This window comes from Homo sapiens, chromosome 11 (genome assembly GCF_000001405.40).
Source record: "Homo sapiens chromosome 11, GRCh38.p14 Primary Assembly".
Lineage (NCBI taxonomy): Eukaryota > Metazoa > Chordata > Mammalia > Primates > Hominidae > Homo > Homo sapiens.
Genome location: NC_000011.10, coordinates 121,537,597 through 121,550,101, shown reverse-complemented (window position 1 = coordinate 121,550,101; position 12,505 = coordinate 121,537,597). Strand labels below are relative to the sequence as shown.

Here is a 12,505-nt window from a genome sequence, read left to right as displayed (position 1 = left end):
CTGTGATACATACCCTCTCGTTCTCCTGTAAGTAGAACCCACAGGGCAAGGCACAGGAGGGGAGTATGACTTTCCAGAAAATTCCGGATCTGGAACACAAACCTCTAATGACAAATCTTCACTCATCTTGAAACCGAAGTCACTAAAAAGGCAATTGGGCTTTGTTAAGGCCACGGTTTTATACATTTCAGGCATTCCTGTACCAATTCTGCTGACTTTACCTTACTACTTTTCACTTTTATTATAAGTTATTTAACATGTCCCTTTAAAGAATATTTACTTTTTATATAAAATACATCTTCAAAAGAAGATTTATATCAGAACCACAGTTGGAAAAACACAATCACATGCCATAAATAGACCAAAAAAAAAAAAAATCATCATGCCAAATCAAAACAGTATTAAATTTTAGCCAGATCCAGTTCCCAATTTAAGACTCTGGACCTGCCCTCTCTGTTAAAAGGGATTAGGCAAATGTTACAGTTACTAGCAACCAATGAGACGTTCTTTTTGACAGAATCTGAAGAAGTAAAAGAGGAATTTTAAAAGAATAACCTTTTTAAAAAATTATTTGGGGCCGGGCATGGTGGTTCACGCCTGTAATCCCAACACTTTGGGAGGCCAAGGCAGACATATTGTTTAAGCCCAGGAGCTCCAGACCAACATGGGCAACATGGTAAGACCCTGTCTCTACAAAAAAGAATAAAAAAAAATAGCCAGGTATGGTGCTGCACACCTGTGGTCCCAGCTACTTGGGAGGCTGAGGTGGGAGAATCATTTGAGCCCAGGAGGTCAAGGCTGTAGTGAGCCGTGATTGCGCCACTGCACTCCAGCCTGGGCAACAGAGCAAGCCCCTGTCTCAGAAAAAAAGAAAAAATTTGACTAGGGGTTCAATGTTATTTAAGAGTATATCCACATACTAGCTAAGTCACCCTGTACTTTGAGATACAGTAGTTAGGTTCATGAGACCTCTTGTGATCTGGAGTCACATCTGCCAAACCTCCCAGCTTGAAGGGCAGCATCCTGGAGTAGGAAGCAGGAGGCCTCAGTCGAAGACGATTCTAAAACGAGGTGACTGTACTATGAATGTTCTAAGGCCCTTCCAAACCTGTAAATTCTATAATTCAATGAATTACAGAATATATTCAAAGAATTATAGAACAGAACATATATTCCACGTTCATGTGCTCTACCAGAACACATTTATTTGCTCTATTCAATTCAACAAATATTTAGGTCCGGCATGGTAGCTCACGCCTGTAATCCCAGCATTTTGGGAGGCTGAGGCGGGTGGCTCACTTGAGGTCAGGAGTTCTAGACCAGCCTGGGCAACATGGCAAAACCCCGTCTCTACTAAAAATACAAAAATCAGTTGGGCATGGTGGCACGCACCTGTAATCCCAGCTACTCTGGAGGCTGAGGCAAGAGAATGGCTTGAACTTGGGAGGCAGAGGTTGCAGTGAGCCAAGATTGCACCACTGCACTCCAGCATGGGTGACAGAGTGAGACTCTGTCTCAGAAAAACAAAAAACAAAAAGAAAAACTCCAAATATTCATTAAACATTTCTGACACAAAAAGTATTAACAGATACACAGAGAGTGATTTGTGTGCATTATATCATAATCCACATTTAATAGTTTGTAAGAATTGTTCAAAAGGCAGCAGTTTTGTCACTGTATCAAATGTGCCTCTTTCATTACCTCAGTTCGTTATTACTGAACGGCCACTTTAAATCTTTTTAGGAACCAGATAAAGCATTAGCTAATTACTTATTTGCCTCCAATAGCAAAGCACTCTTCCTGGGCAGCTTTCTTTGACCATAGGTCATGACCTAGTGGACTCTGAGAGTACTTGGGAGGCCCAAGACTAGATTCTTCCCCTCCCAAAAAAGTGCAAAAGATTGCAAAAGGCCCCATCATACATTTAAAAGTCAATGTTGTCTCCTAAAACTTGTGTTTTAATTATATGTGTGTATGTATCTACACGTACATATGTAAGTACAGGGTCATAAGAGAAAATGTATTATTTACTAGGGGTTGCAGTCAAGAATGTGAAAGCTGTATGACTTGGCAATGTCGAGAAATATAAGAACATAAAAGAATCTACCATGGAAATCAGGAAACATGGGCCAATAGCTGGGCTTCCCAGTGTGGTCTAAAAGGACTATCAGAAATAACCTGGTGTTCAAACACAGTTGTCAACCAGTACCTGAACTAATGGAAAGATACTATAAGCTTGCTCATTCTCATCTCATTTCCTGACGTCCATCTTGGGACCATTTTCCTTCTCAGTGCCATAGTCCAATGCCATCAAACATCTCCAAGAGCCATATAGTTGGGCTGGCTGCCTTCCAGCAGCTACAGCAAGCAGAGAAACAATTGGGAGGGGTGGAGCGGGGAACAGCTGACATCCATATACCCCTTACCATTTCAGAGGGTCATCACCCCACGATCTCATTTGGCCTGCAACCCAACTCCACAAGGGGCAGAGCAGGTGGTTTTACTGGTCTACAATAAAAACACTCCACATACAAGCAGGGTGAGCATACAGCAGGTTCCAGCAAGGCAGATGGGGTGGGCATGGTAGACCAGCAGGTCCCAGGCCAGTTTACCCAGGAGGGCACACCAAGCTCCATTTCTTTTCTTGTGTGTGTGATTTTTTTTTTTTTTTTTTTTTTTTTTTTGGTGAGGGTTGGGGAAATGTAGGGCAAGAGAGAAAATTTTAATGTTATTTGTTTTTAAGCCTAAATGTCATGAAAAAAAAAAAAACCCCAAAGATTTGTTAGACTTTCTTACCTATTTTTTACTTAGTCTTAATTTTATTTTGAAGTACATATTGGGGATAGGAAGAGGGGAGAGAGAGGGCACTATGATCTTTTCAGGGATTAGGACCTCTCCAGTCTCAAGCTGGTCTGGGGAGGACTACCTGGAGCCAACAAAGCTCTCAGATTAGATTAGACTATAATGCAAAAGTGTGTAAGAAAGAGCAGAAGGCAAACAGCATGGAACTGAAGTCACCAAGAACATCAGCCAGCCCTGTGCTTTTGCTGTTAAAGAGTCTGTGTCGTTACCTTGGGAGCACACACCTTTCTAAGGAAATGACTGTCTTCTCTGTTCTAAGCCTTGCTGCTCAAAGGGCGAATGTGCAGATAAGCAGCATCCACATCTCTTGGGAGCTTGATGGAAACGCAGAGCCCCAGAACTCCTGAGGCAGAATCTGCATGTGACCAAGGCAGAATCTGCAAGTGATTCATATGCACCTTAAAGTTTCAGAAGCACTGGTTGAGAACAGAAGTGGCCAAACCTGGTTGGCCATTTTTGTAAATAGAGATTTACTGGATCACAGCCACGTTCATTCCTCTAGAGCTGCTTTCATTCACCCATGGGCACTGCCATGGGCAAAGTGAGGAGTTGTAACACAGATCATAGAAACCATATGGCCTACAAAGTCTAAAACATTTACTATATGACCATGTTCCAACCTCTGGTCTAGAATACATCAGAGGTTTCTGGCTTTAGTCAAGACAAGTACAGCTGCCCAAAGCAAAATCTAGTTCCTCTGTGCCTCAGCAACCACTGAAATATGAGTTGTGTATTTATATTAAATACCCATGGCTCTCTTGGTGCTCCTGACTAAACTACAATGATTTCATGCTGAATTACAGACTACAGTGACTGTCCAGGAGCTCTGAGATCCTCTGTACTCTGCCACTAGAATCCTCTTCCTACAGCTAAGCTCTGTTCTCATCATCAACTCTCCTCAAAAGCTCCTACAGCTAAGCTCTGTTCTCATCATCAACTCTCCTCAAAAGCCGCTGAAGGCCTCCTCCTAATTATAGAATAAGGTTCATCCCCTCTAAGGTCTTTCTCCCCTACTGTATTCTATCTTTTCAGCCTCATCTCCAATTGTCATCCCCATGTCATACACCCAACAAGGCATCCCAATTCAACTCCCAACCACACCCTGCTGCCTCTACACCTGACTGTTGCAGACACATGGTCTCAAAACACTGCTGTCTGCAAATATTGATGCTCCCTGAGAGCCCAGCTCAAACAGCACTTCTTCCAAAAATCTCCTCATTCTCCAACAGCAATCCACAGCCCTCTCCTTCCTTTCAATAGTCACAATAAAAGTACCAGTTCCTCCTCTGAGGCACTTGCTCTCTTCTATCTCCTGTGCCAATTAGCCATGCACAAATCACTTCTCCTACTTTTAGCATTCGCAGCAGTGCCTTGGATATTTTGCTTAAGGAATAATAAATGATGCAAACACACACACATATACACACACTAACATCCCCTCGTTTCAGATAAAGAAATAAATCCCCTCTAGAATAGGGTCCTAAGGAGAAGGATTAAAAACAATGAAACCTTCAGCATATTTTTGGGTTACCCTAATAGAAATAAATCCCAGAGCTATCTATTCCTGTAGAAATAGCTGCAGCTCTCCTAGACACCTCTACCGCATTACCTGGCTATAAGAACTAAAGAAAACAACTTACATGAAACATGCTTAGCACAGTTCCTGGCACATAAAAGATGCTTCACAAATACTTGTTTCCTTCTATTCCCTTCCTTTGCTCAGGGAAAGGGACCATGCCTAATCTCTTCCCCCAACACTGCTGAGTGAATAAAACACAACTCAGTCCCCAGCCATCAAAGAAGAACTGACCACTCATAGTCCTCCCGGGTGCAGGAGCAGTTGGACACGACCACCGGCCTGTCAAAGTCCTCTCCATTGAAGCATGTGGCATGGGGGGTCCGCCGTTTGAAAACAGTCTTGTGTCCCAGCAAACACTCATTCCCCCGCTCATCAGATGGTGACCACAGCTTGTAGTCATTCTCTGTGCAGGGAACTCCTAAAGAAAAAGGAACACAGCACGAAGCATTAGAGGCAGGCCCATGTAGGGTTTCCTGCTATGCCTCAAGGTGCCTGGCCTCAACCCCCACTTCCTGTCTATCTGTTGCCACCCCGCAAGCACACAGACCCTCCAATCAGCTTGTTTTGAAGCTGGGCAGCCCTATGCCAATGAAAAGGATACCTGAAACGCAGGCATCTGCCTGGAAAAGTTGGAAAGAAGCAAGCCACCTTTAGGCACTATCCAAATTTCCGAAACATTACAGAAGAGTCAGCAGTGCCCTTTAGAAATGAGTACTCAGAAGTGTTTCTCTCCTAGAGAACTAGGGAACAGCTGAATCCTTGATGAGCAATACCATTGGGGGTTAATGTTCCTGGCCTGCTTCCTCAGGCAGTGAGGGCACATCTGGTAGTGTGGCCCGAAGGCAATGGAGGGCTCGCTGGCCCTACTTGAAGGTACAGGATCTCCATGGAAAGAGGCTGGAAAATGCTAAGATACCTTGCACCATCACTCCATCTGCCACGTTCATCGAAATGTCTAAGTAGGGTGCTTTCTACAAGCATTCCAAAGTATGCCTATGTCTATGTTGGCACTTTGTGTCTCTTATATATGTGTCTTCAGTCAGATTAGATACTACCCGAAGCTGATACACAACCTTTGACTCAATGCCATGCAAATCAGTAAACTTATTAAACTCCTACAGACTGTTAGGCTATCAGGCTTTCCAGTAGGTACAATACAAATATGCACAGGGCAAGTTCTTATCTTTAAGGGCTTTATAATCTAGTCAATGGAAGGTGAAACACACCGAGTGACAGACACAAAGTTATGCATACACTTATGTTCTGGACATAGAGAAGAAGGGAGACGTCTTCTGGTTGGGATATCAGCCACAAATGTGTTGGATCCTGAGATATGAAAAGGATTTCGAGTAGGGGAGGCTGAACGGGTGGAAATGAGAAGAAACAGGGCACTCCGGGCAGCTAGAATCAGGTTAGCCAAGGCTGAGAGGTAGGAAAGGGTAAGATAAGATGGGGAAGCAGGGAGAGGATGCTGAAGAGTTTCACTTCTCCCTGCATACTTATGCATCCTGTATCTAGATTAGCAGATCACAACTAGATCCTAGATGGCTTTGAGAGGACCCTGTGTCGCTTGGCACACTGACTTACAGACAGTCAGGCACACTCACTGAATACGTCCAATTGGCACTGCTGATTTGGAAATATGTTTTTCATTCATGCATTTATCTACATATTCAGCAGACATATATTTAAACTTCTTATGTGCCAGGAACTGCATGAGGAAACTAAGATACAAAGAATAGCACCCAGTCTTACTAAGAAGAATTGAGCAGGCCTTCAATTACCTCCCTATGCTTTTTGCTAACTCTTATGGGCCCATCTCCCCCAATGAATGTCAGGCTCTTCTGAGTACACAGTATCTAAGCTGGTGCTTTGCACATAACAGGAAGTCCACGCATATCCATGTGAAAAGGTCCAAGGAGGCAGCAGCTTACCCAAGGCATCCGTGGCATTGACCTGGAGGATCAGCCAGCTGTGGACATTCTCTTTGTTCGAGCCAAAGATGGTGAAGACAGTGCTCTTCTCCCCAGGTTCTGTGAGGAGGCCATACACAAACACTGGCTTCTCAGAGAAGATGAATGTTTTCCAGGTCTCCCCTTCATTGGTACTGTATCTGCCCAAATGCAAGTAAGAGAATCCTTGCAGTGAAAGTCTCTAAGGCAAAGGCTTGGTTTCCATATAACATTCACCAGGAACAGGAACCAGGGCTCCTTGGAGAAATGGCTGATCCTGGGCTAAGGCAGGGAAAGTTTAAGGAAATGCTCAGAAATAAATGCAGTCATCTCAAAAGAACACAGGAACCAGCCTGATGGGGCTCCAACTGGCCGAATTTAGGAGAATTCAAACATAAAAAAGAAAAATGATGGTAACAGATTACACATTGAATGAAAATAGGACATGGGTCTCTAATGATACTAAAAGACAGAGGAGCAAAAGAGAAATTTTTTTCTTTTTTTTTTTCTTTTTTTTTGAGATGGAGTCTCACTCTGTCACCCAGGCTGGAGTGCAGTGGCATGATCTCGGCTCACTACAAGCTCTGCCTCCTGGGTTCACGCCATTCTCCTGCCTCAGCCTCCCGAGTAGCTGGGACTATAGGTGCCCGCCACCACACCCGGCTAATTTTTTTTTTTTTTGTATTTGTATTTGTAGTAAAGACGGGGTTTCACCATGTTAGCCAGGATGATCTCGACCTCCTGACCTCGTGATCCGCCTGCCTCGGCCTCCCAAAGTGCTGGGATTACAGTCATGAGCCACCGTGTCTGGCCCCCAATTTTTTTCTTATATTAGAATGGCACTTAATAAGGGTTGGACACAACAATATATATATTATAATATAATATAATATAATTACAGAAAAATTATCCCCACTGCAATAACTAAATCACACAAGGATCATCACTGGATGCTAAAACCATTCGGTGAAAGTGTTGGGGCCAGGATGTTCAGATGATCTGAACAGACAAATCATTCACTACAAATGGGGAAATAAAATTTTACAAAACATAATCTTACAATGAATGATCAGAGAGTCACAATCTTAACTAAACATCATCAATAGCAGGACAACTTGATATTAGGTGCCTCCTGAATAAAGCATTGAGAATAACACATCCTCTGTGTACTATTCTATACAATTGGACAAATCCAAAATGTGGGATATTCTACACGATAACTGCTCCAGATTCTTCAAAAAAAAATCAAGGCCACAAAAACCAAATAAATAAAGAAAAAAGGCAGATAATGTGTTATAGATTTTAAAAGACTAAAGGAGTATAAAAGCCAAATGCAATGACTAAACAAATTTGCAATGTGTAAATCCAATCCAGGATTTAGTTCAGGACTGGCTAAATCCCGGATTGAAGGGGAAAAGTGGCCATAAATAATTTGAGACAACTGAGAAAATATAGTCTATAAGTCATACCGAGTTCATGTTAATTTTCTTAGGTGTGAGAATGGCATTGTGATTATATAGGAAAATGCCCTTATTTATTGGAGATACACATTTAAGTAGCTGTGAGGGAGCATGATGTCTGCAACTTTCTTTAAAATGATTCAGCTAAAAAATAATGGATGGATACACAGGATAGATAAATAGACCAATGATAGAAGTAGAGCAAACCGGCAAATGCTAACAATTTGTGACTCTAGGTGAAGGTTTCATGGGTGTTCGTTATACGGTTTTTCCAACTTTCCCGTGGTCTTAGAAATTAAAAAGTAAAAAGTTGAAGGAAAGTATATACTGAGGAAAGTCTCCAAGACAGACTATAACAGAAGCAGGAAGCCAGCCCTTGAAAAACTAAGCAGCATTTGAGTAACTGCACTGATTTTACATTATCTTTGGTGTCGAAGAAGGAGAAGAGGGACGGAGAGGGAGGCAAGGAAGAAAATCTGCCCAACACTTGTTTTATCACCCAGTGAGCTGGTGAGACGCTTGACATGAGAAATCACTCAATTCAAGCCTTCTTTAGAATCACAGGGCTTCTGGGTCCTTCTTAAATCCAAATTATATGCAAAACTTTTTCTTTCACCTTTCTCATGTTTTTGAGATTTTAGTTTTACACCTTTGGGATTCTAATCCTTGACAGAAATCTTTTCGTGACATCATTCTATCCAAACACTTCATCTCATATTGAGATTATTAAAATCGATTTGGCTAGGCGTGGTGGCACATGCCTGTAATCCCAGCACTTTGGGAGGCCAAGGCAGAAGGATCTTTTGAGGCCAGGAGTTTGAGACCAGCCTGAGAAACATAATGAGAACCACATCTCTACAGAAAATTTTTTTAAAAAATTAGTCACGTGTGGTGGTGCCCCCTGTGGTCCCAGCTACTTCTCTGGAGGCTGAGGTGTGAGGATTGCTTGAGTCCAAGAGTGTGAGGCTGCAGTGTGCCATGACTGCACCACTGCAGTCCCACCTGGATGACAGAGCGAGACCCTGCCTTAAAAAAAAAAAAAAAAGATACTGCTACAAAAAGGCTAGGGGTTAAACCAACTGGTAGGGTTACAAGGCAGAATAATAAATGTCAATGGGAGACTAAGTAATCTCCCCCTACAAATCTCTCACAAGGGGAGAAATCTCACCTGGCAGATATGCTTTTGGTTTAAGAAAATTTTGAAACAGATATTTGGATAAATTAACTCATTCAGTCTCCTTCTTGTAACCAGTGTGAAGCTAAAGGTTTATATTACTTTTAAAGCAAACTGAACCAACAGAGTCAACCTATTATCCAGACATGATGGCAGCCATCTGCCCACTCAGTGGTAATGCTAAAGTCTATCTATGTGTACGTTGCCAAGTTAATTCTCTTTAAGAGCTCCTCGAACCCAACATAACCTCAGGAAATGAATCACCCCATTTCTTGAGAGTTCCCAGAGGACTCTGACAATAACTCATTAATGAAATAACAAGCAGGTACATGACCAAGCATAGCTTGTATCTGAAAATACACTGCTCATTTAGAAAATGGTGCTCTTCAGAATTTTGGGGAAAAGGCTCTTGTCTTATCAACAGCAACAGTTAAGAGAACACGCATTTTGGACTGAATTCTGACCCCCAAAGGAGAACTTGTATTGGTAAAAGTAAGTGACAAGAACCTTGTGAAGAAACAAAGTCATCTTTGCATTCTTTTTTTTTTTTTTGTATTTTTAGTAGAGATAGGATTTCACCTTGTTGGCCAGGCTGGTCTCAAACTCCTGACATCAAATGATCCACCCACCTCAGCCTCCCAGAGTGCTGGGATTACAGGCGTGAGCCACCGCGTCTGGCCCATCTTTGCATTCTTAAGTTATGAAAGAGGATATAGGGCACTAGCCTTTAGGAATGAAGAAATCAAACTGTTCAGATAAAAATATAGACATAATCCCAGGGCCAAAAACTCTCAAGAAGATGGGAAGGTCAGATAATATAATAATAAAACATAATATAACCACAGATACTCTAAAAGGAAGAAGTGTGGTAGATACCCAACTTAGGACTCTAGCAGGCAGCTACCCAGAAAAGTTCCTGATGAGTTCAGGTTTCTAAAGAACATATTCAAGATGGGAAAAAAGGTCATATAACCAAGAGCAACAAATTCAGTTACTGCTAGCTAATTCCAGCTGTAATTCTCATAGCCAGTAGTCTGTTGGAATAGTAGCAAGATAAGTTCAAAATGAATCAAGGTTTATGTTTCAAATTACCAAAATAATTGGCAGACTGGTGGGTCAGTGGATTGGTTATCTGGCAAGTTCTATAAAGAATTAGAAAGGAATAGGATCATTGCTCTGATGGCCAATAGAATAAATAATAGCAGACATAATCATATGTATCAATTTAAAAAAACAGAGCACTTGATACACATTCATCCATTCGTTCATTCATTCATTCATTTATGAAAACCATCACCCAGTTCTTCCTATCTTTACTAGAACTTTGAATTGAAAATACTTTATGTTTTCTGGCTGATTGGAAAGCTGAAAACAAAAGAAATAAAGACTTCGTTAGTAAAAAAAAAGAAAAAAATCTTTGAATAACAACATAGTAGTAAAGCTGGGTCTAAAAAAAATAGAAAAAAAATTCTATTTTGCTTTTATCTTTATCAAGGAAAATAATCTTCAAATTGGACAAGAAAAACCATTTAAGTTAAAGGAAAATCAGTACAAAATAAATTCTAAGGAACTGAAAGACTTAAAGATAGGATGATTATAGCATCCTTTTCAATAATCTCTAGGAGAATTATGAAGAACAAAGATCTCAAAAACTAGAATAGGGAAAATACTTTTATTTCCTTAATGAAGAAAAGGTGGTTTCAAGAATGGATTATGAAACAGTTTATTTGAGAGCACTCAGACGAAAAGGAGGTCAAGGCTAAGAACCCAAATGGTTTCACACACAAGTCACAACAGACTAACTCCATTTCCTTTCCTCGTGGTAATTCTTGATTTGAAAAACAGGACAATGACACAGAACATTCTTTTTTTCATGAAGATCTTTGTGGACCACGCAGTCAGATAAAATTCACTGATGGTAAAATAAGCACATCCCAAGAGTGCTGACGTATGGTTTGATCTCAACCCAAGATAAGACTTCTAGTTCTCACAGAGCTCAACACATCTGTCAATGATCTGGATAGGGATCTGGAAGGCGAATCTGCCAAATTTGCAAAGGGTAAAAGGCTAATTGTATAAATAATATAATAAATGCCGGGGCCAGGCACAGAGGCTCACGCCTGTAATCCCAGCACTTTGGGAGGCTGAGGCGGGCGGGTCACAAGGTCAAGAAATCGAGACCAGCCTGACCAACAAGGTGAAACCCCGCCTCTACTAAAAATATAAAAATTAGCTGGGCGTGGTGGTGCATGCCTGTAATCCCAGCTACTCGGGAGGCTGAGGCAGGAGAATCGCTTGAACCTGGGAGGCGGAGGTTGCAGTGAGCCAAGATGGCACCACTGTGCTCCAGCCTAAGCGACAGAGTGAGACTCTGTCTCAAAAAAATAAATAAATGCCAAAAATACAATTCAAACCAAAAAAAAATAAGCAAAAATAAAAATAAAGCTCCACATGTAGTTTCAAAAACCTGTTTGCTCAAATACAGGACGGGGAACATCCGTCCTGTTGATTGATTGATTGTATAATAAGATCCATAAGAAAGAAGGATCTCAGGTATTTTAGTTAAAGTGAACTCAGCCTACTGATACCAGTTAAAAGATTGATAAATCTCAAAATCATTATGCTGAGTAAAAGAAGCCAAATACAAAACATACAAACATGAAATTCTGGAATAGGCAGCTACAGTGATAAACATACCAGTGGTTGCCTGTAATTGGGGCAGGGGTTTGGGGGTGGAGAGCACTGACTGGAAAGGGGCACGTGAGTATTTTCTGGACTGATGGAAATACTCTACATCTTGACATGCACCCTTCAGAACTGATTAAATGGTGTAGTCAATATCTGAGCATCCTGTGGTATGCAAATGATACCTCCTCTCAAAAAAAAAAAAATAGGAGCCACCAGTTTGAGATGGCTGTTAAAAATGGAAACACTGTCAGAGGTTTTTATTAATAGATACAGAGTGTTCAGAATCATGAAGACAAAATCTCAACATCTTCTGCATGTTTCAGGCTATTGGGGCCAGATCCAGGTACCACATTTTAAGGCACTGACATCGTGAGGCAGACCTAAGGGAGAACCTAGAAGATAGAGATTGAGGATCTATAGAATATGAGGAAAGGAACCGAGGATATTCATCATGAAATGGCAGACACTCAGGAGAACATGACAGGGTCCTTAAATACTTGAAAGGCTTTCATGCAAAAGGAAGTATCTACTGTGCATCTCCAGGGAGCAGAACAAAGTCCACGAATAGAAGCTGGAGGGAGGAGAATCTGGGCTCTCCCTTACCAGAGAACTTTAATTCACAAATGAATTAGTGAACAAATGAACAGCAAACTGTCCCAAAGTAAAATGGAAGCACCTTTTGATATGGCAAATTCCCCATTAATAGAAATGTTCAAGTATAGAACAAAAGATTGTCTATCACAGATGGCACGGAGAAAATTCTTGCAAAGGGTGGCGGAAGGCTGCACCA

The 12,505-nt window shown here is 41.4% G+C and overlaps 1 protein-coding gene across 1 annotated transcript in view; it reads right to left on the bottom strand.

Moving 5' to 3' along the window:
- SORL1 (sortilin related receptor 1) overlaps positions 1 to 12,505 on the bottom strand; it is a 181,450-nt gene that overhangs the window by 83,662 nt on the left and 85,283 nt on the right. The window contains exons 13-15 of the mRNA NM_003105.6: positions 6,376 to 6,554; positions 4,673 to 4,859; positions 14 to 142 (exon numbers count right to left, since the gene is read on the bottom strand). Coding sequence (NP_003096.2) covers positions 14 to 142; positions 4,673 to 4,859; positions 6,376 to 6,554 — 495 coding nt within the window. The remainder of the gene's footprint in view (positions 1 to 13; positions 143 to 4,672; positions 4,860 to 6,375; positions 6,555 to 12,505) is intronic.